Consider the following 26614-nt stretch of genomic DNA (forward strand, 5'->3'; position numbering starts at 1 on the left):
ATCAGAGTGAACAGGCAACCTACAGAATGGGAGGAAATTTTTGCAATCTACTCATCTGACAAAGGGCTAATATCCAGAATCTACAAAGAACTCCAACAAATTTACAAGAAAAAAACAAACAACCCCATCAAAAAGTGGGCGAAGGATATGAACAGACGCTTCTCAAAAGAAGACATTTATGCAGCCAACAGACACATGAAAAAATGCTCACCATCACTGGCCATCAGAGAAATGCAAATCAAAACCACAATGAGATACCATCTCACACCAGTTAGAATGGCGATCATTAAAAAGTCAGGAAACAACAGGTGCTGGAGAGGATGTGGAGAAATAGGAACACTTTGACACTGTTGGTGGGACTGTAAACTAGTTCAACCATTGTGGAAGACAGTGTGGCATTTCCTCAAGGATCTAGAATTAGAAATACCATTTGACCCAGCAATCCCATTACTGGGTATATACCCAAAGGATTATAAATCATGCTGCTATAAAGACACGTGCACACGTACGTTTATTGCAGCACTATTCACAATAGCAAAGACTTGGAACCAACCCAAATGTCCATCAATGATAGACTGGATTAAGAACATGTGGCACATACACACCATGGAATACTATGCAGCCATAAAAAAGGATGAGTTCATGTCCTTTGTAGGGACATGGATGAAGCTGGAAACCATCATTCTCAGCAAACTATCGCAAGGACAAAAAACCAAACACCGCATGTTCTCACTCATAGGTGGAATTGAACAATGAGAACACTTGGACACAGGAAGGGGAACATCACACACCGGGGCCTGTCGTGGGGTCGGGGGAGCAGAGAGGGATAGCATTGGGAGATATACCTAATGTAAATGACGAGTTAATGGGTGCAGCACACCAACATGGCGCATGTATACATATGTAACAAACCTGCACATTGTGCACATGTACCCTAGAACTTAAAGTATAATTTTAAAAATCCAGCTGTTAATCTGCTGTTAAGAAGACATTTAAACCTGAGAGCACAGAAAAGTTACTATTATAGAAAAAAATACACTAGGCTGTCACTACCAAAATTAAACGCTGGTGGAGCTACACTAATTGTCATAAGCAGAATTTGAAGATGGCCCTAACATTTCCAGTCCCTAGTGTACACACACCTTTGTCCAGTTATGCAGTCAAACACAAATTTAGGTACTCCTGAAAAGGAATTTTGTAGATATCCTAAATCAGTTGACTGTAGATAAGGAAGTTATCCATGTGGGCCAGAAGAAGCCAGAGAGTCAAAGCATGAGGGAGATTTAATGCATAAAATGTTCCCCATTACTAGCTTTAAAATGGAGAGGGCTATGTGGCAAGAAACTCTAGGAGCTGAGAGTGGTCCCTAATTACAGGCAGCAAGGAAATGGGGATTTCAGTCATACAACCACAGGGAACTGAATTCTGCCACAACCACATGAACTTGGAAGAGGACCCAGAGCTCTAGCTGACAACACAGACCAGCCAATAACTGAATTTTTATCTTTATAAGACCCTGAGTCAAGGAACAAATAAGAAAATGTGGCCTATAGTCAAGAAAAGCAAAATATTCAAAATAGTACATCTAAACCAAATGGTCAATATATACATGAAGATACTCCACATCATTAGCCATCAGGGAAATGCAAATCAAAACCACGATGAGATACTTCTTCACACTCAGTAGGATGGCTAAAGTAAAAATGTCAGATAACAACTGGAGAAATCGGAATCCATATACACTGCTGGTGGAAATGTAAAATGGTATAGCCACTTTGGAAAACAGTCCAGCAGTTACTCAGTTAAACATAGAGTTATCATATAATTTAGTAATTTCACTCCTAGGTATCTATCTTGGAGAAATAAAAATATATGTCCACACAAAAACTTGAATGCAAATGTTTATAGCAGTATTATTTATTATAGTTAAGGATGGAAACAACCCAATGTCCATCAACAGACAAATGGATAAACAAAATGTGGCATATCTAATTAAATATTATTTGGCAATATAAAAGAATGAAGTTCAGATGCATACTATATCAATGAACCTTGAAAACATTTTGCTAAGTGAAAAAAAGCCAGACACAAAAGATCACATATTATATGATTTAATTTGTATTAAATGTCCAGAATAGGTAAATCTATGGAGATGGAAAGTAGATTAGTGTTGCCTAGGGATTGGGGAAAAAATTAGGAGTGATAACTATAGGGTTTCTTTCTGATGTGATGAAAATGTTCTAAAAATGAACGTGGTTGTGCTTGTATATATCTGTAAATATACTAAAAGTCGTTGAATTGTACATGTTAAACGAGTGAATTACATTATATTAAATATTTCCTGTAAGGCTATTATTTTTTTTAAATGAATTAAATGGAGGTCCTAAACCGAAAACTATATAATAACTGAAATGAAAAATTCAGTAAATGAGCATAATAGCATTTTGGATATGGCAACTGAAAGAGTCAGTGAATGTGAACGTAGGTCAATAGAAATTATACACTGTGAAGAGCAGAGATAAAAAGTATATGACACAAAGTCACTGAAAGTAAAAGAATGGAAAAATAAACATGATGAAAATGGGAACTGATATGACAATATTAATATTAGACAAAGTAGGATTCAAGATAAAGAATATTACAAAGGATACAGCAGGAAATTTCACAATGATAAAAAGAACAATTCATCAGGAAGACCTAACAATCTAAATATCTATGTAGACTGGACATGGTAGCTCATGCCTGTAATACCAGCACTTTGGGAAGCTAAGACAAGAGGATTATTTGATTCAAGGAGTTCAAGAGCAGCCTGGGCAACACAGTGAGACCATATCTCTACAAAAATTTAAAAATTAGACAGGCATGGTGGCACATACCTGTAGTCATAGCTACTCAGGAGGATCACTTAATGCACAGGAATTTGAGGTTACAGCGAGCTATGATCATGCCACTGCACTCCAGCTTGGGCAACAGAGTGATGCCTTGTCTCAAAAAATAAAATAAATACGTATGTACTTAAGAAGAACATCAAAATTCATTGGGCAAATATTAATAGAAATACAGGAAGGAATATTAATAGGCAAATCTACAAATAATATTAGAGATTATAATAGCTCTATCTCATTAACTGATAACAATTAGGCAAAAAAGTCGGCAAGGAAATAAATGATCAATAATATTTACCTAATTAATATTTATAAAACACTCAGCCAACAACTGCAGAATGTGCATTCTACTCAAACGTACATAGTAAATTCACTAAGGTAAAATACTCATATATACTAAGCTATACATTCTCAATAAAAAGTTTCTACTTTAAACTTCATATGGAACCGAAAAAGAGCCTGCATAGCCAAGACAATCCTAAGCCAAAAGAACAAAGCTGGAGGCATCATGCTACCTGACTTCAAACTATACTACGAGGCTACAGTAACCAAAACAGCATGGTACTAGTGTCAAAACAGCATGGTACTACTATCAAAACAGATATATAGACCAATGGAACAGAACAGAAACCTCAGAAATTAACACCACACATCTACAACCATCAGATCTTTGACAAACCTGACACAAACAAGCAATGGGGGAAAGATCCCCTATTTAATAAATGGTGTTGGGAAAACTGGCTAGCCATATGCAGAAAACTGAAACTGGACCCCTTCCTTAAATCTTATAGAAAAATTAACTCAAGATGGATTAAAGACTTAAACATAAGACCTAAAACCATAAAAATCCTAGAAGAAAACCTGGGCAATACCATTCAGGACATAGGCATGGGCAAGGACTTCATGTCTAAAACACCAAAAGCACTGGAAACAAAAGCCAAAACTGACAAATGGGATCTAATTAAACTAAAGAGCTTCTGCACAGCAAAAGAAACTATCATCAGAGGGAACACGTAACCTACAGAATGGGAGAAAATTTTTGCAATCTATCCATCTGACAAAAGGCTAATTTTAATCCAGAATCTACAAAGAACTTAAACACATTTACAAGAAAAAAATAACCCCATCAAAAAGTGGGCAAAGGATATGAACAGACACTTCTCAAAAGAAGACATTTATGCAGCCAACAAAGATATGAAAAAATGCCCATCATCACTTGTCATTACAGAAATGCAAATCAAAACCACAATGAGATACCATCTCACACCAGTTAGAATAGCAATCATTAAAAAGTCAGGAAACAACAGATGCTGGAGAGGATGTGAAGAAACAGGATCGCTTTTACACCATTGGTGGGAGTGTAAATTAGTTCAACCATTATGGAAGACAGTGTGGCAATTCCTCAAGGATCTAGAACTAGAAACACCATTTGACTCAGCAATCCCATTACTGGGTATATACCCAAAGGATTATAAATCATTCTACTATAAAGACACATGCACACATATGTTTACTGTGGCACTATTCACAATAGCAAAGACTTGGAACCAACCCAAATGTCCATCAATGATAGACTGGATAAAGAAAATGTGGCACATACACACCATGGAATACTATGCAGCCATAAAAAGGATGAGTTCGTGTCCTTTGCAGGGACATGGATGAAGCTGGAAACCACCATTCTCAGCAAACTATCACAAGAACAGAAAACCAAACACCTCATGTTCTCACTCATAAGTGGGAGTTGAACAATGAGAACACATGGACACAAAGAGGGGAACATCATACACCGGGGCCTGTCGGGGGGTGGGGGGCTAGGGGAGGAATAGCATTAGGAGAATTACCTAATGTAGGTGACGGGTTGATGCAGCAAATCACCATGGCATGTGTATACCTATGTTTCAAAACTGCATGTTCTACACATGTACCCCAGAACTTAAAGTATTATTAAAAAAAAAAAAAAGTTAAAAAGCGTAAGATGTTATACAATGGAATTAAATTAGAAATTAATCATAAGATATCTAGAAAATCTACAAATATCTGGAAATTAAATAACACAATTCTACTTAATACTGGGGTCAAAAAAAACTCACAAGAGAAATTATAACATATTTTTGGTGTGCCCTGCCCATGCCCTTCTGCTGCTTTTTCCAGGAGCAGGGAAGGAGTGGAGACAAAGGCTGATGAGGGTCTAATCTAAATTTAATCTCTTGTTTTTTTTAACTTTGTATGTGGAAATAATTAAAGATTCAAACGAAATTGCAAAGATAGTACAAGAAGTTTTCAATCTCTTGTAGTTTTTTAACTGTGTATGTGGAAATAATTAAAGATTCAAATGAAATTGCAAAGATAGTACATGAAGTTTTCATGTACCTGCTAGCTTCCCCAATAGATACATCCTAGTACTTATAGTTACTTAAAACCAGGAAATTGACATTGTCATTTTTCTGTGCCATTTATCACTCACCACCTCTAAAATTAAGATACAGAACTATCACCACAAAGATCTCCCTCATGCTACCCCTTTACAATCACACCACCTCCCCATGCTAAACCCCTGGCAAACACTAATTTGTTCTCCACCTCTATAATTTTGTAATTTTGAGAACATTATATAAACAAAATTATACAACATGTGACCTTTTGAGATTGGTGTTTTTCACTTAGCATAATGAGAGCCATCTAAATGATTTTGTGTATCAACAGTTCATTCCTTTTTATTAAGTAGTATTCCCTGTAGTATTCACTGCTCCCATCATTATTCACTTATTGCAGAACATTTTAATGTTTCTGGTTTGGAGCTATTATAAATTAGGCTGCCATAAACATCTGTGTAAGGATTTTTGTACGAACACAAGTTTTCAACCCCTTTGGGTAAATACCAAGGGATACAATGCTGGATCATATGTTATGTTTAGCTTTTTGTTTTGTTTTGTTTGTTTGTTTTCCAAGAGGGAGTCTTTGTCACCCAGGCTGGAGTGCAGTGGCATGATCTCAGCTCAGTGCAACCTCCACCTCCCGGGTTCAAGGAATTCTCCTGCCTCAGCCTCCTGAGTAGCTGGGATTAGAGGTGTGTACCACCATGCCCAGCTAATTTTTGTATTTTTAGTAAGAGATGTGGTTTCACCATGTTGGCCAGGCTGGTCTCAAACTCCAAAGTGTGTTTAGTTTTTTAAGAAACTGCCAAACCATTTTCCACAGTAGCTGCACTATTTTATATTCCCATCAGCAATGTATGAAAGATCCAATTTCTGCGCATTCTCACCAGTATTTGGTGGTATCGTAATTTTTAAATTTTAGCTGTTATAATAATTATCTTAAAAATATCTTATTGTATTTTTAATTTCCACTTTGCTAATGGCTAGTGATCCTTTTATGTACTTATCTGCATCTGTATAGCCTTTTCAGGGATGGAAAGAGTGCCAAGGTTACTGTATAAAAAAGCATTCAGGATGGGAGATATTGTTGCTGGCATTTCTAGAAAATACAGCCTGGAGTCTGGCATAGGTTACCTGGAAAAGGCGGATCTTGAGCATGACAGGATTTAGATAAGGAAGAAGCAAGAAAAGATATTTTTAGTGTATACTGCTGCACTCTGTCATTTAGAGTTTAAAAGAATGCAGCATTTTTATTTAGTCAAAATACGTAACCAGAATAAAAGGTATGGAGGATAGGCTACTTCAATTTCAAATAGTAAAACTTCCTCAAAAGATCTGATATTTGTATCTTTATCCCAAAACTTGCCACCTCTAGTAATTGCCCACATCTCTTTAACCTCCACTTTTCTCCTCTTCTCTGCAGCTCTATACATCAATCTGTCTCTCTTTTCTTTCTTATAAGAAACAAAGTAGTACATTCTTAACTTCTCCCAACTTCTTCTGTTATCAGTTCAGAAAAATAGAAGGATTATATTGTGACTGTTTATTCTACGAATGTTAGGAAAAGATACATGTTCCACATGATATGCGAAGAAACCAGAGGGAAGAGCAGGTGTTTTCAAATAGAAAGAGTAAATAAGATATCTTAAATTTTCACTGAGTTTCAGTGTATGGCAATATATTTCTACCTATATGTGCCCAATTAAGTGCACTTATGGATTACTAAATTCACTCTCACACAATGGCTTTAAAAGGCAAAGAAAAGGCAAATTGAAGGTAATGGAACAATGCACACACAATACCAAACAAGAAAATAGCACAATCTCCATCAGCCCCATTTTTATTTAAAAACAGTAACAATATAATCAAGTCTGGAAAGAAGCTAATCAAAATAATTTAAAATTATTTTTTAAACTATTTGAAAAAATTGCAATTATCAGTAACAATGAACTTTATTATTCATTGAACTAAGATGTAATTGTGTACATGTGTATAATATATGAATGAATAAATAAATAAATAAATAAAGATCAACAATCAAAAAAGGTTTAGAGCCCGCTTAGAACACTGAAAGTGCTGTTCTCTCCACCTCTCTCACTCTACCCTACCCCCTGGTTAGATACTGCTCTTGCAAATGTCAGGCTCCCAGCTTGAGCTCCTACCCAGATCTCTTGAGTTCCTGAAGTTTCTCTGGTCCCTCTTTTCCAAGGTACAGGTGCCTGGAGGAATCCTGGCCTTGGGTATCAACTGAATGACTTGATCCTGTTTTTCTTTGCCTCAATTTTGGATAGATTTCCTGAGTTTGCATCTCATATTCTGGTCCTTCCTCTCAACCTCCCATCTTGACCAAAACTCATCTTCTAGGGTGAATATGGCCCATTATTTGGATATCATGCCCACTTGGCTGTCTTCTTGGTACCTAAGAAAGAGCCCAACAGCTGTGGGGCTGAAACAGAACTAAGACCAGGACAGAGAATGCCAATACCTACAGTTCTAACGAGTCATTTACAATACTTTGTTCTAAGTATAAAGTTCTTAAAATCCAAAGTTAAGAAAAAAAATTTTTATAGGTAATTTTTAAAAACAGTAACACAGCATTTCATGGAAATACCAAGAACCAACTATCCAGTACCAAGTACATTTCCAATATAATGATACATTTACAGTGATACCATTTTAAATTGATAAACATTGTATGTATTTTTGGTGTACAACATGATGTTTTGATGTATGTACATATTGTGTAATGATTAAATCAAGCCATTTACTTCACATACCATTTTTTGGTGATAAGAACACTTAAAGTCTACTCTCAGCAATTTTCAAATATCCAGTCTATCGTTATTAATGATAATCACCATGAGGTAAAACAGATCACATGATAATCACCATGAGGTAAAATAGAACATATTCCTCTTGTCTAACTGAAATTTTGTGCCCTTTAAGCAACATCTCCATAATACTCCTACCCTTCTACAGTGATGCTTTTTGAGTCACATACTCCGTTAGTCTATTGAGTTTCTTGAAAATAATGACCATGGCCCATGCAACTTTGTTTCCCCAGACCTGGCCTTGAAAATTACGATTAATATTATTTTAGTTATTGTTACTACTTTTAAAACACTTACTATGTGTCAAGCTCTTGCTAAGCATATCGCAAATATTATCCCGTTTAATCCTTGTAATAATCTTATCATTCCTTTTTACAGATGAAGAAACTACACTCAGAAGCCCAATAACTTACCTAAGATCTTACAATTAGTACATGGTTGAACTGGGATTTTAACTCAGGTCTTTCTCATTTTGAAATTCAAACTCTTAATACGACTACTCTAATACTGAGCGGGGAAAGTGGGGTAGGGAGATATATAAAAGTTTGCCACTACTTTCCAGGCCAGAAGTAATAGCATGTTCCTACTTAGAAAATGTGACCTCCAGCCATGTTTCCAGCCAATTATGACTTCTCTGGCATTAAAGACACTGATCACGACACTCTCAGACGAAGGAAATCTCTAAAATATGTCACAGAAAATTTTCAATAAGTTATAGTGACACATGTATCCAGTGAATGAAATATAAAATACTAACTTTTGTAAATGTAGCTGAGGTTACTTTTCCTTGTGAGTCTAATTACTGCTGGCACATAAAATGAAGCTATTTGCAAATTCATATCTCTTAATTTGGCACAAGGCAGTAACTTAAAGAAAAAAACTATAGGTAGGCAAAAAAAAAAAAAAAAATCACTGCTTACAGCAGCACACAGGACCAAAGAGTGATGCAATTTTCACTACATGTCTTCTCAAGTTGGAGAATTCATTAGCACCTGTATAGTACTTGGGTAATTTCAGACAAAGCAAGTTGCATATTTAACCATAAGTTCATCTTGCTTTGTAGTTCTATGGCTTCATATTAGAAGTTTAAGTATACCAATTACTTCATCATTAAATACAGATATAAAATAACCATTTCAAGTTATTTTTCTTTTAAGTTTTGATCAATCATAGCATTTTCTAAGTAATACATTCTTTTCTAAGTATACATTCTTAAGAGTATATTCTACTATTGAAATTGGTTTTAGCCACTAAAATTAGAAAATATACCATAATGCTCTTTCCTTTTCTATTCTAAATAAATTTTAATTTACAATTTCTTTTTACAAAAATAAACAAAATGTATTTATTTAATATACATCACAAGAGCTCAATCAGAGACTTAATTTTAAAAACAGAAATGGGCAAAATGTCATGGCTCATGCCTGTAATCCCAGCACTTTGGGAGGACAAGGTAAGAGAATCTCTTGATCCCTGGAGTTCCAGGACAGCCTGGATAATACAGGGAGACCCCATATCTACAAAAAAAAATTAAAAATTAGCCTGGCACTGTGGCTTACACCTGTGGTTCCAGCTGCTCAGGAGGCTGAGGTGGCAGGATTGATTGAGCCTAGGAGATCGAGGCTACAGTGAGCCGTGATCATGCCATTGCACTCCAGCCTGTTAGAGCAAGACCCTGTCTCAAAAATAAAATAAAAAATAAAAAACAGAAACAAAACAAAAATAACACCACAGCTCAAGATACAGAGTCCTATACAGAAATCAAGCAAAGACAGACCATCTAAGGGAAAAATGAAGAGACAACACAAGGAGAGGTTGGGCAGCCCGAGTTAGGGCTCCTTCCTGGAGACGTGCTTTGAGTAGATTTCTTGCAGATATTTCTTAAAAGCTGTGGAGTTTTTCTAGAGCTCAGCAGCATGTGTGTTCAAAAGGCTATTGATGTTGAGTTCTACTAGCAGGCTGTGGATGGAGTGCAGGGTGTTCTTGACATCATACAGGGCAGACCACTCGTCCTTCAGGATGTCCAGACAGGTGTTAACACTGGGCGTCCACGTTGAGATAGTAGCAGGGCGTGAGGAACTTAACCAAGGGCATGTTGTATGGGTAGCCACTGGGGAACTCCAGGGAAACCTTACATCTCAGGTCTTCTGTGCCAGCTGCTTCAGGGATGGTCCTACTGATTTCAAAAGGTTGTCTGATGCAGGTAAGGCAGAAATTCCTTTGTTGCCAGAGATCACAAGGGTCTTCAGCTCTTGCTGTATCCTGCCGTACCCACTGCTGCACTCTGCTCCTTTATGGGCAGCAATGCTGGTGGCAGCTGTGTTGCAGTTTTGGCAGGCCATCCAGGCAGCACTGGCAGGGAGACAGGAACTCAGAGAGCATGACTGCAACTGCCTACTTTTTTTTTTAATGGTAGATGAAATGCTTAAGTGGACTAGCCAGCTCCTAATTGTCTCATTTCACTGAAAACTGTTTCTAGTCAACAAGGATGGATCCCATCAGCCTTACTGTATGAGAAAACCTGATCCCTGGCCAAAAGTGAGTGTTCTGAAGTGGATACATAATCTAACCACTGTTAATCTGATTCTTCCTCCTGGAGATGTGGAATTGAGACCCAATTCTAATCAGCTAAGGCTGCTTGCTTAAACTAATTTGCTTCAGGGAGAACGTCCCCCCACCCCCCGCCCCCGCTCCGAACCATAAACACTGTGAAGCAAAAGTAACATGGGCAAATATGTATTATCTTAACAAAAACTACCAGCACTATAGGCTGAATTACGTCCCTGCCCCAAAAATTCTTATGTAGAAGTCCTAGCCCTTAGTACCTCAGAATGTAACTGAATTTAGAGATAGGGTCATTTTTTAAACTTCTTCACATCAGGTAATGTGCAGACTGGTATCAAGGTCTGAGGGAGGCACACCTCACACAATAATGTGAAAACACAATCATTACTTTATGAAACACAAAAGAACCTAGGTTCTTTACAGAGGTAATTAAAGTGAAGTCATTAGGATGGGCCCTAATCCAACATGACCAGTGTCCTTACTAAGATGTGGAAATGTGGACACACACACATACAGGGGGAAGGAAATGTGAAGGGGCAGGGAGATCATTTCCATCTACAAACCAAGAAGAAGCCTGGAACAGATCCTTCCTTCACGGCCCTCAGAAGAAGACAACCCTGCTGATAACCTAATCTCAGACTTTTAACCTCCAGAACTGTGAGAAAATAAATTTGCTAGTTAGCCCTAGCAAACTAACACAACCATAAAGGGACACATCCTTGTTTGAGATGCTTGGGATAGAAGGTAAGACCCTGAGGGAATAGGTGTCAGAAGCCACAGAAACAAAGCAGATGGTAAAACTACTCTGGATGGCACCAGAAGAAAACTGTTTTTTCTGTCTCCAGGAAAGAAGAGGAAAGAAAGAGAAAGAAGTCAGTAAGAAAATTTGAAGTGTAGGGACTTTTTGGACAAAGGGCCAAAAGAATTTTCTCAGGAGGGTCTGAAAGTACCCCCAACAGGAAATTCTGATTATATTCCTATGATATAAACCCCCAAACCTTCAACAAAATCTATTACATATGGAAACAGAAACCCACAGCCAGAGGTGACCATGAGAATATCAACCTGGCATTCCTCCACCCCCTTATCTCACTGCCCTCTCATTCAGAAATTTGTAGAAATCTCACAGAAGCCACATGAGCCCCACAAGGTATGAAATATGGTTCATGCCAATATTATCTAAATCTCAAAGCACTAGGATATTTTAGCTGACACTTGGAACTGCAAAGAAAGATGAAGTAGACTTGCAGATAGATGCAGAAATGAAAGACCAAGTGACCCTAGAGAGAGAGAATGAGAGTTATAAGGCTATTTTCTGGTTCTAATTCCTCATTTGGCCAGACTGACTCCCTGCTTTTGAAATACCCACATCCCTATATTCCTCTTGGGATAACTTTATAGCCTCAAAATAAATCTCCCTTTCTTGTTGTTGGTTAAAGTAGCTCATGTTAGTTTCATTTGTGATTAAAATAATTTTAACTAGGATTTATATAATATACATATCAAAGGACATCATAAATAAATAGCAAAACCAGACAGTTATTAGAAGTTTTAATCTGGGCTGCTATTCCAGGGGGGACATTTATACCACAACAATACAGTGAATAAAAGTACTGCCTCATTTTTCCAAACTAGTGTCACATAGAATACTTCACTCACTATTAGGTAGGGGTTAATAAGTATGCTATAAAAAAGAATGTTTTGAGGTCAAATACATTTGGAAAATACTAATACAGAATAAATGACTTCTGAGCAGTTGGGGGAGACTTTTTTTTAAGGGGAGTTGACTATAAGACCCTTTCTTCCCACTGAGTGGCAGAGAAGAGAAGGTACATTATTGGAGGGAACTTAAAAGGTAATTACTTCAACAATAACAAGTTTATACTTGTTACAAAAGTAGCTAAAATAATATAATATCAATGTAAGGACAAAATCTAGTTCATCTCTAAGGCAGTATAATGTAATGGTTAAAACACATGACTTCTAGAACTAGGCTGCCAACCTCTGTAACTATTTCTTCATCTCTAAATAATACTTACCTCAATGCTTTGTGAGAATTAAATGAGTTACTATATGAATTAGTCCATTTTCATGCTGCTGATAAAGACATACCCAAGAAGGAGGTTTATTGGACTTACAGTTCCACGAGGTTGGGGAGGCCTCACAATCATGGCAGAAGGTGAAAAGCAAGGAGGAGCAAGTCACATCTTACATGGATGGCAACAGGCAAAGAGAGAGCTTGTGCAGGGAAACTCTTTTTTTAAAATCATCAGATCTCGAGACTCATTCACTATCATGAGAACAGTGCACAAAAGACCCACACCCATAATTCAATCACCTCCCACTGGGTTCCTCCCATGACACATGGGAATTATGGGAGTTACTATTCAAGATGAGATTTGGGTGGGGACAGAGCCAAACCACATCACTATATAAAAAGTACTTCAGCTGAGCGTAGTGGCTCACACCTGTAATCCTAGCACTTTGGGAGGCTGAGGCAGGCAGATCACTTGTGGAGTTCAAGAACAGCCTGGCCAATATAGTCAAACCCCATCTTTACTAAAAATGTAAAAGTTAGCCAGGTGTGGTGGTACACGCCTGTAGTCCCAGCTGCTCAGGAGGCCAAGACATGAGAATCGCTTGAACCTGGGAGGTGGAGGTTGCAGTGAGCCAAGATTGTGCCACTGCACTCCAGCCTGGGTGACAGAGTGAGACTCTGTCTCAAAAAAAAGTACGTCAAAGTGGCAAACTTCTGAAAATGCTAGTTATTATTATGAAGAAGCCTCCCTAAAAATCTGTAATTTATCAACTTCCAAGACAGGCTTAGAACTTTCTAGATTTTATATATCAGCTTAAAGAAAGTGACCCATTCAGGGCAGGGCGCTGATTATAGGTGGCTCACACCTATAATCCCAGCACTTTGGGAGGCCAAGGCAGGTGGATCATGAGGTCAGGAGTTCAAGACCAGCCTGACCAAGATTGTGAAACCCCATCTCTACTAAAAATACAAAAAGTTAGCCAGGCACAGTGGCAGGCACCTGTAATCCCAGCTACTCGGGAGGCTGAGGCAGGAGAATTGCTTGAACTTGGAGGGCGGAGGTTGCAGTGAGCCAAGATCGTGCCACTGCACTCCAGCCTGGGCAACAGAGTGAGACTCTGTCTCAAAAAAAAAAGGAAAGTGACCCATTCAGAATGAACCAACTTGAGACACAGAAGAAGACTGGCCAGTGACACCACAGAAGGCCAAAAAGTCAAGAACTCTGATTAGAACCAGGACAAAGGGTTTTAAAATATGCTGTTGCTGTTGAAGGGGTTGGTAGTTAACGTAGAGCCACAATTTAGCTATAGCTTTATAGTATTTCAATTTTTTATGTATAATTATTTTTATTATGTTCTGATTCGTATCCCATTTAGATGGCATTAAGGATATATACTGTACCTGGGGACAACCACTTATATTTGCATGGCTGTCATATCTCCAAGGTCATGTTAACAGGGCCTAAATAATTTTTCTAATTTAATGTTAACTCACTTTTTAAAAAAATTTTTTGTTTATTTTTAGTAGAGACACATTTCTCTATGTTGTCCAGTCTGCTCTCAAACTCCTGGCCTCAAGCAATCCTCCAGCCTCAGCTTTCCGAAGTGTGGGGATTATAAGCTAATATTAACTTACTTTAATCGTGTGTAGATGATCCTTTTCTTAACTGAGATAATGACTTCTACTTTGGTTTCAGACATTTTTTGACCACTATTATGCAATTTCTTTTTTAAATTTTGTTTTATTAATCTATTTTTAAATTTAAATTTTAATTTATTTTTATTTGTATATATTCATGGAATACAAGTATGACTTTGCTAGACTGATATATTGTATCATGTAATTTCTTAAACTAATAATGCTTATCAGAATTATCTCAAATAGATTTTTACTCTTGGAGGTATTGTAAACTAGTATTAACAAAAATAAATCCTCTCAAATCTCAAAAATGATGTAATTATATACAGAAAGATAGCCAACTGGGCTTTTCTTTATCATTCTAAATAGCAAAAGTAAAACTCAAAATAATTGGTAGAATATTTTAGATATTTCAAAAATATGGAATAAAATTATTGTGATCAGAAATTCTACTTAAAAATATAATTATTTTGTAAAAATTGAGTTTACCTAAAACCATAAAAGTTATAGTTGTTATGTTACATTTGCTTACAATTTTCCTTGAGAATAGGATTCTGTTACCTCACCCCCAAAATTATTTAATTACAATACTGAGATATGTAAGGGTCCATCAGTTATTCTGATCCTATAAAAATTATTTAAAACACTTACAAATGTGAATGCAGAACACTATCTTCCACATAATAGTTTCTTGAGAACTCTCCATATTTTACACAGAATTTTTCAGCTATACATGACCTTATAAGCCAAACATTTCAACTCCCTCATTTTAAGCAAACTGAAAATCACAATAACGATACCCAAAGTGACAGAATAGAACCATAATACAGACCTCCAGCTCCAAAGTTCTTTAGATATTTCTTCTGCATTTCATTAATGGTTTTATCTAGGTTTGATTTTTTTTTTTTTTTAAGACGGAGTTTCGCTCTTGCTGCCCAGGCTGGAGTGCAATGGCGTGATCTTGGCTCACTGCAACCTCTACCTCTGGGGTTCAAGCAATTCTCCTGCCTCAGCCTCCCTAGTAGCTGGGATTACAGGCATGCATCACCACGCCTGGCTCATTTTGTATTGTTAGTAGAGGCAGGGTTTCACCACGTTGATCAGGCTGGTCTTGAACTCCTGATCTCAGGTAATCTGCCCGCCACGGCCTCCCAAAGTGCTGGAATTACAGGTCTGATCCACAAAGCCAGGCTAATTTTTTTTTCATTAGAAAAATTGCTTATATAAATCAGAATACAAACATGCTTTTTTTTTTTTTTTTTTTAAGACAGTATCTCACTCTGTTGCCCAGGCTGGAGTACAGTGGTGCAATACAGCTCCCTGCAGCCTTGACCTTCTGGGCTCAAGCAATCCTCCTCTTCAGCCTCCCAAGTAGCTGGCACCACAGGCACAGACCACCGCTCCCAGCTTCTTTATGTATTCTTGATATAAGCCCTTTATCTGATATGTCATTTGCAAATATTTTCTCCCAGTCTATGGCTTATCCTTTCATTTCTTAATTATGACTTTTGAAGATCAAAAGTTCTTAACTTTGTCAAAGTAAAATCTATGAATTTTGTTCTCTTGAATCATTCGTTTGGTGTCATACATAGTAAGTATTTTGTATAACTCAAGGTTACAAAGTTTTTATCCTAAAAATTCTGAAGTTTTATATTTTATATTTAGAACCATGATCTAAGTTAACAGTTGTATAATGTATGGATAGTTCTTTTTTATGTAAATATCCAATTCTTCCAGCACTATTGTTGAAAAAACTGTTTCCTTTCTCCTGAATTATCTTTTCACCTTTGTCAAAAATGAATTGGTCATATATGTGTGGCTCTATTTCTGAACTCTCTATACATTCTTACTGAATTTTTATTGCCTATGCCAGTACCATACCATTTTGATTACTGTGGCTTTATGATAAATCTTAAAATCATGTAGTGTAATAAGTGGTGTGCTGAAACTGGCTTGCACCCATTCACAAGAACTGATCTTGTATATCTCTTCCGTACCCTGTGTTCAGTGATGTCACATTAGTAGCTTGAAATCAGCCATGGTGTATTTATACCACAAAAGTATTTCCAGAGAGCTAGTTGTTAAACATCAGCACATCACTAGGTATAAATTATCTATTTATTCAAAGTTGTTCTGACTTGGCATTTCAACATAAATTTTAGAATCAACCTGTCAATTTATACAAAAATGCTAGGATGTTTACTAGGATTGCATAAAATTTATAGATCAATTTAGGAGGAAATTACATCTTTTTTTCTCCCTCTGTTGCCCAGGCTGGAGTGCGGTGGCATGAACACAGCTCACTGCAGCCTTGACCCCCTGGGCTCAAGCGATACCCCCATCTCAGCCTCCCAAAGTGCTGGAATTATAAGCATGAGCTACAATTCCCAGCCAAGAAATTATATCTTAAGAATAAAGAGTCCTCCAATCCATGAACCCTGTATCTCTCTCTATTTGAGTAGTCTTTAATGTCCATCAGCAATATTTTATAGTGTTTAGTTACAGTTCTCACACATCTTTTGTAAAATTTATACCAAAATATTTCATAATTTTTGGTACTACTCAATATACTATTATAAATAGTATTGTTTTTCAGATTTTAATTTTAGGTTATTCATTGCTATTATTTATTATTGTTTTTGTATATCGATCTTGTTTACTACAAGCTTGCTAAATTCAATTATTAGTTTTAGAATATTTTTTGTAGATGCTACAGAATTTTCTACACAGATACTCATGTTACCTGCAAAGACAGTTTTACTTCTTCCTTTTCAGTCTACATGGCCTTTTATTTTTTCTTGCCTTTTTTGCCTCAGTCTTTCACTATCCCCATTAACTATGATGTCAGCGGTAGGTTTTTCATAGATGCCACTTGTCATAATGAGTGAATTCCATTCCTAGCTTACAAATACCTTTTATCAGGAAAGTCTGTTAAATATTGTCCAAAATTTTTTTTGCACCTATTGAAATAATCATTGGCTTCAATTTGCTAAAATTTTTAGAATTTTATAACTATTTCATAAGAAATACGAATCTATAAAATTCTTTTCTTGCAATGTATTTAATTTTGGTATCAGAGTAATGCTGGCCTTATAAAATGAATTGGCAGTTATTTCCTCCTCTTTGATTTTCTGGAAAAGTTTGCATTAAATTGGTGTTATTTCTTCCTGGAATGTTTGTAAGAATTCCAGTGAAACCACTTACCAGTGAAACTCTTGGCTTGGAATTCTTTATGGTTAGGTCTTTAACTACAAATTAAATTTATTTAATAAATAAAAGGTTATTTCTTCTTGGATTAGCTTTGATAGTTTGTGTCTCTCAAGTAATTGTGTCTATTTCATCTAAGTTGACCATACTGACATAAAATTCATAATATTTCCTTCTCACACTTTTCATCTGTTGCATCTGTATTGATACCACTTCTTTCATTCCAAATATTCAAAATTTGTGTTTTCTCCCCCTACCGCTAATCCTTTTTTCCCCCCGGATCAGTGTGGCTAGAAGTTTAAATCAGTTGTATTGATTCAGTCAAAGAAGCAGCTTTTGGTTGTACTGATTTTTTCTATCTGTCTTCCAGTTCATTGATTTCTACTCTAATTTTTATTATTTTCTTTCTCTTCTTTTTCTGGTTTCTTAAGGTGGAAGCTGAGGTCATTGATTCGAGATCTTTCTTTTTCCAACATAGACATTTAATGTCTATATTTTATTTAAAACACATTTAGTGTTATAAATTTCCTTCTAAGTACTGCTGTAGCAACATCCCACAATTTTAATATGTTGAATTTTCATTACCATCTAGCTCAAAATACTTTCCTGTTTGATTTCATCACTGACATATGAGTTATTTAGGAGTGTGTTGTTTCGTTTACAAATATTTGGGGAATTCCCCACACATCATTCTGTTATTGATTTCTAACTTAATGCCATTGTCATCAGAAAACATACTTTGTATTACTTGAGTCTGTTTAAATTTGAGACTTGTTTTATGACCTAGAATATAGCCTAACTTGGTCAATGTTCCATGTGCACTTGAAAAGAATGTGTGTTTTGTTGTTTTAAAGTGATCTACAAATGTCAATTACATCTACTAGGTTGATAGTGTTAATTAAGCCTTCTACACTTTTACTGATTTTCTGTCTACTTACCCTATCAATTATTGAAAGAGGAGTATTGCAATCTTCAGATATAATTATGGGATCTAGTTATAAATTTTTCCTGTACTCCTTTCAGTTCTATCAGATTTTGATTCGTGTGTTTTCCATTTGTATCATTAGACACATGAATGTGTACAATTATATTAGGTACCCCTGATGAATTCACCCTTTTATCATTTTGAAATGACCCTTTTTATCCTTAGTAATATACTCTGATCTAAAACCTATTTTGTCTGATAGTAATATGAGTATCTTTTGATTAGTGTTGCCATGGTATGTCTTTTTTGGTCCTTTTACCTTTAACCTATTTGGTTTTTTATGTCTAAAATATGTTTATTGCAGGCAGCATATAGTTGGGTCTTACATTTTTAACCAATCTGGCAATCTTTGTGAAATCACTAAACTCTACCTGGGTTACTGACTTCCTTTCTACTATCATATCTTTACTTTCCAATATCTCTTTTTTGTTCTCAAAAAGTTCTACTTTTGGATAGCCTTTCTATTCTTGTTTTACACAATCAGTAACTTGTCTTATTTCTTTGAACATATTAATATAGTCAATTTAAAACACTATTCTATTCTCCGCATTGACTGTTTTTTCTATGTTCATTTTACCTGTTGGTTTCTCTTCCTCTCTCTTTTTCATGTTACATGCTCTCTAATCAGTCATTGATTTATGTTAGGGTGATGTTAACTGATAGACTTAATATTAGGGTAGGATTTCTCAACTTTGGCCCTATTGACATTTTGAACTGAATAATTATTTTGGGGAACAGGAAGATGAGCTTCCCTGTGTACTGCAAAATGGTTAGCAGCATCCTTGGCCTCTATCCACGAGATGCCAGTAGCACACCTCTGCGCATATCTTTAGTTATTACAATCAAGTATCTCTCCAAACATTGCCAAATGTCCCCTGTGGGGGGAAACCAGTCCTAGTTTTTAGCCAATGCATTACGGTGATCAGGGTCTTGAGAGTTTCTCAGAGAAGTTCTCCAGTTTCCTACTTTGTGAGTGAAGAATATGAACCTAGTCACTAGCATTTGGAAACCAAGCAGATGAACAGACATAGGTATCTCACCAACCAATACACAGACTCTGACTTAATCTCTCTGGTAGGCAGAATAATGGCCTCTCACAGATGTCCACACATCCTAATCCCAGGAACCTATGAACATGTTATGTTACATGGCAAAAGAGAATTTAGATAGCAGGTAGAATTAAGCTTGCTAAAAAATTGACCTTAACAAAGGGAGATTATCTTGGATTATTCAGTTGGATTTAAATACAGAAGAGGAGGGCAGGAGAGTCAGGGACAAAATGATATGACATGAAAAATCCATTGCTGGCTTTGAAGAAGTAAGGAAGCCATGAGCCAAGTAATGCAGGTGGCTGAAAGAAGCTGGGAAAGGCAAGAAAACAAAATTTCTTTCTAGAGCCTCCATGAAGAAAGACAACTCTGCTGACACGTTAATTTTAACCCGCTGAGATTCATTTTGGACTTCTGACCCCTGGAATTATAAGATGATAAATTTGTGTTTTTTTTAAACCACTATATTTGAGGGTTAATGTGTTATAGAACCAATAGGAAAAATCATATAATCATTTGATTTCAGTATGGTGCTTTAGCATCCACTCTCAGTTCTGCTTAGTATTCCCAAATCTAGAACAAACCTGAGATAATCTCTTCTACCATGAATCAACAAGTCCTATCTATCTCTGTCAAGGTTGAAGAATCCAGGCTTCTTCATTGAGATGGGACCAACGGAGCAAACTGTTGCTTAAACAGATTTTCAACCAATCCTTCCATTCCAAGCCCACTCTACTCCCCAAGGCTATTTAAGGGGAACTTGTACCTCCAAATCCTGAGTTTTTCCAGCATTCTACAGTAGAGACAGACATGCTTTTATCATGGCAAGTAGTCAGACTTCCTCTCTATTCTGCTAAGTCACCACTCATTCTCATTCCTCCTTGCAAAAACACATAGACGTCTCTTATCCGCTACGTCTCTCAATCTTTTTGGTCTTTAAGGGTTCATGCAGTTTTGGTTTCTCTACTGTCATTTTACTGGGATTTCAAGAACAACAGAAATAAACAAGTTCACCTGCAATGTTTAACTAGTTTTATTTTCAGCTGACATTTTATCAAGCGCTTACTGTGTATTAGATTTGCAGATAAACCTTTATATAAATTATCATCTGAATCTTGTAATAACTCTAGGAGATAGGTACTATTATTTTGCTTCCCATTTTATAAATAAAACTGATGTTTGATTCAGGTGACAAGGCTAGGGTGGAACAGAACTGCGATGGAACCCAAGTCTTTATGACTCAAAAGCCAATTTGCCTAGACAATTATGCAATCTTGTTAATTTTTCAATTAACAATTCACAGGTTTTACTCTAGATTAGAGGTCAGCAAACTATGGTTTACTAGCCAAATCTGGTCTGCCCCTTGTTTTGTAAAGTTTTATTAGAACATATCCATACCAATCGTGTGGAAAAAAGCACACTCAAACTCAAAGTACTTTTTCTATTCTCTCACTCAACACCAAGAATTAACACAGAAGACTTCTGCAGCCAAATGTGTGGAGATTTTCCCCTACCAACAAGCAAGTAATGAATTCTGCAGCAGATACCAGGTAGGTATCCTCCAATTTAGTTCTGACACTATCTACCTAGAAATCAAATTCCACAAGTTGGGGCTCAGTACCGAAAGACTGCCCCCTACTTCTGATGCCAACAAGTCCTGGGTTATTTTTACCTGTGCTTTTAACTGATTGGTTATAAATTGGGGATCCCAAGACCCCCTCCTTGGATTTGATTAATTTGCTAGAGCAACTCACAGAACTGAAGGGAACCATTTACGTTTACCAGTTTACAGTAAAGGATATTGCCACAGGTACAGGTGAAGAGAGTCATGGGGTAGGCACGTTAGAAGAGGTGTTGCACTTCCCTGCCCTCTCCAGTGCACCACCCTCCAGGAAGCTCCATGTGTTCAGCTATCGGAAAGCTATTGTGTCCTTTGGGTTTTCACGGGACTTCATTACATAGGTATGATTAAACCATTGGCCATTAGTGATCAATTTAACCCACAGGTTGTAGGGAAGGGCTGAAAATCCTAAGCCCCTAATCCTGCCTTGGTCTTTCTGGTGACCAGCCCCCATCCTGAAGCTACCTAGGGGTTGCCAGCTACCAGTCAACTCATTAGCATCCAAAGACATCACTTTGGAGAGTAAGGATTTTAGGAGTCATACACCAGGAAAAAGGGTCAAAGACCAAACACGTATTTCACAATATCACACCCATTTAAATGACTATTGTCTATGCCTGTTTTTGTGCTACACTGTTACAACTGAATAGTTGAGACAGAGACAATCTAGCTGACAAACTCTATTAGTCTCTGCTCCTTTAAGGAAAAATCTGCTGACCCTGCTGTAGAAAATAACCTTATTACCAAGTTTTGAATTCATGGTGTCCTCATATACTTAACACTTTTGTTACTGTTATCAAATCAAAGGCACTATTTTTATTGTTCCTTTAGCCTTTTGTTACCCTGCAGATAGAAATCTTTGGCCATGGTTTAAAAAGAAAAGCCTCTAAACCCATCTCCCATGTGAAGTCTTCCCCATACTTATAGTCATACTCACTCCCATTTCTGAGCTCCCATCTCAATTATTATAATTACAGTATTTAGTGGAGTTTGATTCATATAGTCATTACTAGTTGTGATTCCCCTGAGATCTAGCAACTGCTTAACTCTGATAAGCATTTATTAAGTACCTTCTAAGTGTCAGTCAGTGTTCTAGACACTAGAAATACAAAAATAAAAATGGCATCTTTTGGTTCATATGTATTCTTTTTAATTAGGTATAAAAATAGAAAAGAAACTGAGCATGGAATTGTGCCTATGGTCCCTGCAATAATTGCATCAGAATCACTAGAAGTGCTTGGGCAACATTCCTATTGAATGTTGAAGCAGAATCTGCGGTGGTTAGGCCCAGGAATCTGTGCTCTTAATCAACACTTCAGATGATTCTTAAGCACAAAGGTTTCAGAAACACTATGTCAGTAGACAGGAAATACTGCTTCTAAATGTGCAAGTATTATGAGAGAGTAAGAACAAATCCCACATGATCTCTCTTAATACAAACCAATTTCTGTCAAAATGTAATGTTTTGCTGCTCATTTCTTCTTTCCAAAACTTACTAGACACGCTTAATCGAGAACTTTGACGTTGCTCTCATCTTTACTAATTTTACTTACATTGTGAACCCTGTACCTGGCACAGTTCTTGAAACATAGTTGATACCAATACTTTGTGTTGAACTGTTGAATATTCAGAGCAAAACCTTTTTAAGTTGTCCCTAGTATGTAGAAGTAGGAGTTTTTCCAATTTTAGACTGGAATGGTATGAGGATCATTTGAGAACAAGGAAGATAACACACCCAGGCAAATGTTTGGTCAACCTACACCTTGTTTCTCTCCTTCTAGAAATGCTTCCTTCTAGCTCTCAAGCCCACTACCCTGTGGGGAATATCAATCTCGCTCCTCAAGGCTAAGCTAGATCAAGCAAAGCCAAGCAGACTAGTGGAAAAGGTCAGGCATTATAGGATCCATCTTCATCATAGGTAATCTATTTCTAGAGGCTGTAGTCAAGAGAATGCCCTAGAATACATGTTTAAAAGGATTACCTACCTCTGAAGATAATAGACCACTTGCTTATATATGTCTACCACGAGAGTCTTATAACAATGGACTCTTGCTATACCTGACACAGATCTACCCCTCCCACTAGAACTCTGAATTATTTTGCTGGAGGCTACAACATTCTGAGTAGTTTGTTGGGAGTTGACAGGAGGTGGGGATAACCCACCCAGTACAAGCTTAGCAGAGCTGAGCCGCTGCAGCAAGTTGGGCTAGCCTTTGATACAGACTGGTTGGACAGGTTCTGGATCTACAGAAGAACCGGTTTTACTGGCCTGTTGTGCCAACATATTCTGGTTTGATTCCATGTTCCACAGACGGTAGAAACCTGCCCAGCCAGTTAAATGAAAGGCATATTAGGTTATCCATTGCACTCAGTATATAGCTTAGATGCAGCAGAACTCTTCCACATAGCAGTAGTGTCTAGCAAACCAGTGTGGTCCAGAGAGGTGGTGTTCACTGATTTAATGTTTAAGTTGATAGATTCAGGGAAAGTGAGCAGTGAAACAATTTCTGCTTTTCACCAAGAGCAGAGGTTTTCTAAATAAGTCGAAGGGTAAGTATATTTTTAAAATTTCTCAGTTTCCTATGCATTTTGGAAAGTTAAATTAAGAAATGATGTTTAAAAAGATAATCAATTTTTAACATAGTAATACCTGCATTATACCTTTTCTGTAAAGCTAGATATTGTTTTATAACACTTGCGTTATGTTCATTGATTGTTTGCATAAAGGTTATTTGGTATATAATATTCTCTTACTATGCTTTTCTGTAAGTTGTGCATGGCTATAGTCATTTTAAAAGCTGGACTGAATAATTTTGCCAAATAAATTTCACATATTAATGATTTACATTAAGCCATCTACTTCCTTCATAATGTAACTATTATGTTTTATAGGCTGTTGCTATATGGTAACAATTTTATATGGTAAATCTAATTGTGGATAAATAATAATTGCCCTTTTAAGGCCAAAAAAAGCATTGGCCGGCTGGTGATCCTAAGTACATTCATTAGAGGAACAATTCACAGTAAAAATTGAGGAGTGTGAAAAACAAAGACCGTGGAATCTGGTAACTGATTAACTATTGGAGCTCAAAAGCACTTGCTGAGCTGAATAGAAAGGAATGAAGACAGGTTTTGTCATGCCTATTAGGTCTGAAAAACTTTTTAGGTTAAAGAATACCTGGATCTTCCTTTCATTTATATTAAAAATCTTCCTTTTATCTCTCTCTTTACGTAATCCAATTAATTTATTTTAGTAGTTTGTATCATGTAAAATGAAAGTTACCAATCCCTTTAGATTTATGTTGGCATACCATCCTACCCCTTTATTTACTGATATTAGATTGAATTGAAGCACATGTCTTCTAGGGCATTTAATTTAACATAACAGCTGACATATGATTTTATCTGGGAATTTAAAATTTTTTTAACATATTATACTGAATGCTTTCCTGTCATCTTAGTAGGACTTTGCTTTGAGCTGAGCAAGACTGATGCATCCTTTTCATTGTCCCTAGGGTTCCCACTTTGTCACTATGTTCAAACTCAAAGGCTATAAAATTATTTTCTAACTCAAAGGCTATAATATTAGTTTCCTTAGGATGTTGACAAAGAATAAATTTAAAAGTGTGAATAAATGTTCAGATGAGATTTCATTTTTTGCAGGGAAAACCCTTGGATGCTTCATAGTCCTACTTCTAGGCAGTTCTGCATGAATTTCTGGTAATCCAGGTAAACTGCTGAAAAGCTATGTAATGTTGTATCTGCAAAAGCAATGTGCTGATTCAGCAAGCCAATATTAATTTTATTCAGCACAAATTGTATTTTGACAAGTTTTTGGTAATATGGATCAAAACTTTTAATTGGCTGAATTTTTCTGAATTTACTACATGAAACCTAGTTTTCAGGTAATATATATATACCAATAGAGCACATTGTTAGTATTTCTGGTGAATATATTGCATATGATAATTTAAAAAATTTAAACCACACCGTGTTTAAAACATAGGGCTTACTGTTTAAAGATAAATTTAATTTGGGATTCTAATTTATTTATTGAGCATTTTTTATGTTTATGGTTTTGAAGAAAGCTATTTAAGAACTAGATATACATTTATATAAAATCCATGGGTAAAATTTCAAGCTTAACTCTGTATTTTGGGAGAGGATTTTACAATTTTCATTTAATGGAATTTTCATTTTCAAATATATGTAAGTCCTATTAGATATTACTTTCATGTATTTTCCATAAATTTAGTCCTTTAAAATATTGATACATTGCGATATTTTTGTTAAAACTGAGGATATATAAATTTGTCAATCAAATTAGGAGTGTGTATGTATTTTATACAGACCAACATACTTCAGCGCCTAGTCAAAAAGTATTCCACTCATTTAAAATTTTTTTACTCTTTTAGTCGAGGATGCATTTCTTTTTATTCCTAGCTGCACAATTTCGCATAACTCTTTCTGTCAACAATGCTAGCTTTCTTAACAACTGCAACTTCTTTCCCTCCTGAATATCTTCATGTGTTTTCCACTAAAAGCACTTAGAATTATGTCATTTTTTACCTAAGAGGGACATTTAAAGAATAACCAATGAATCCAATATCTCATTTTTGAGTTAAGAAATGAAAAGCCCCAAAATATAGCTAAGTCACTATTATATAATCTAAGGGTAGATCTGGGGCCAGAACATCCAGGTTTCCTGACTTCCACCAAGACCAGTAATTTTTTCACTACCCTACATTGACTCTTCTGAATACTACATGAAATCTAATCTAAAAAGGTAAAATTATGTTGTATAGTGTGTTAATGAATCTTTGGTGAACTAAAAAATCATTTGTTTTTATATTTTAATCTATACCATTATTGCCCCAAACATTTTTGGGACAATGGCTGAATATATATGGGATTGCCATTGATAACAAAGGTGACTACCACTTCAAACCCCAATCTCTTAATGCCATCATATTATTTTGTTTCAGACTGATGAAAGCCTCACATTCTTTCATATTTGCCCAACTTGTGGATCCCGCTCTCATTTTCTGACTCAATATTGCTTTAAGCTGTCTCAACTGTCTATTTTCTTAGTATGTATATATTTTTGTATTATTTTAGTCATTCTTAAATGCTCATAATTTAGGATTTGCCTAAGTTAATATAGTATTCTTTAAATTTGGTTAGAACTGACAGGAAAATTTTGTTATGAAGACAGAAATTGCAGGACTTAAAAACCCATCTTAGAGGTGATAGAAGCTGTTATTGAAGGGGTAAGCTTTGCACACAAGTGCTCAAAAAAGTTTTAAACATTTTTAATTTGAGGAATTCCTAGGAAATGTGATTACAGAAAGTTGGAGAACCAAAGGCCAAAAATTTCAATTCTGATTCCTGGTACTAAATGTTAATTCTACTAATTA

General features: G+C 36.2%; 1 protein-coding gene, 1 long non-coding RNA gene, 1 other non-coding gene and 1 pseudogene across 6 annotated transcripts in view, besides 1 other annotated feature; 1 reads left to right on the plus strand and 3 right to left on the minus strand.

The window, feature by feature from the left end:
- The window catches only part of RBBP8-AS1 (RBBP8 antisense RNA 1), a 210274-nt gene that overhangs the window by 167069 nt on the left and 16591 nt on the right, over nt 1-26614 (minus strand). The gene's annotated exons all lie outside the window — the stretch shown is intronic.
- UBE2CP2 (ubiquitin conjugating enzyme E2 C pseudogene 2) lies at nt 9927-10436 on the minus strand (annotated as a pseudogene).
- On the minus strand, nt 10965-11067 carry LOC124904378 (small nucleolar RNA U13). The gene has a single exon (XR_007066491.1). It is a non-coding gene; the product is annotated as a small nucleolar RNA U13 (small nucleolar RNA).
- Nucleotides 23580-26614, plus strand: part of RBBP8 (RB binding protein 8, endonuclease) — a 112348-nt gene continuing 109313 nt past the window's right edge. For 2 of the 4 annotated variants that reach the window (XM_006722519.3, XM_011526132.3), the window contains exons 1-2: nt 23580-23747; nt 24861-24926. The gene's annotated coding sequence lies outside the window, so the exon portion shown is untranslated. Of the gene's footprint in view, nt 23748-24860; nt 24927-26182; nt 26288-26614 lie in introns of all 4 variants that reach the window. The other 2 variants (XM_047437728.1, XM_006722520.3) reach the window with 2 other exon arrangements.
- Nucleotides 23959-24566: an enhancer, noted in NCBI's record as "OCT4-NANOG hESC enhancer chr18:20494481-20495088 (GRCh37/hg19 assembly coordinates)". NCBI's record gives its function as "activates a minimal SCP1, AML or CMV promoter by ChIP-STARR-seq in naive and primed H9 embryonic stem cells {active_cell/tissue: H9 hESC(naive and primed)}" and the evidence as "EXISTENCE:reporter gene assay evidence [ECO:0000049][PMID:30033119]".

The sequence above is a fragment of the Homo sapiens genome, chromosome 18, assembly GCF_000001405.40.
Source record: "Homo sapiens chromosome 18, GRCh38.p14 Primary Assembly".
Classification (NCBI taxonomy): Eukaryota; Metazoa; Chordata; class Mammalia; order Primates; family Hominidae; genus Homo; species Homo sapiens.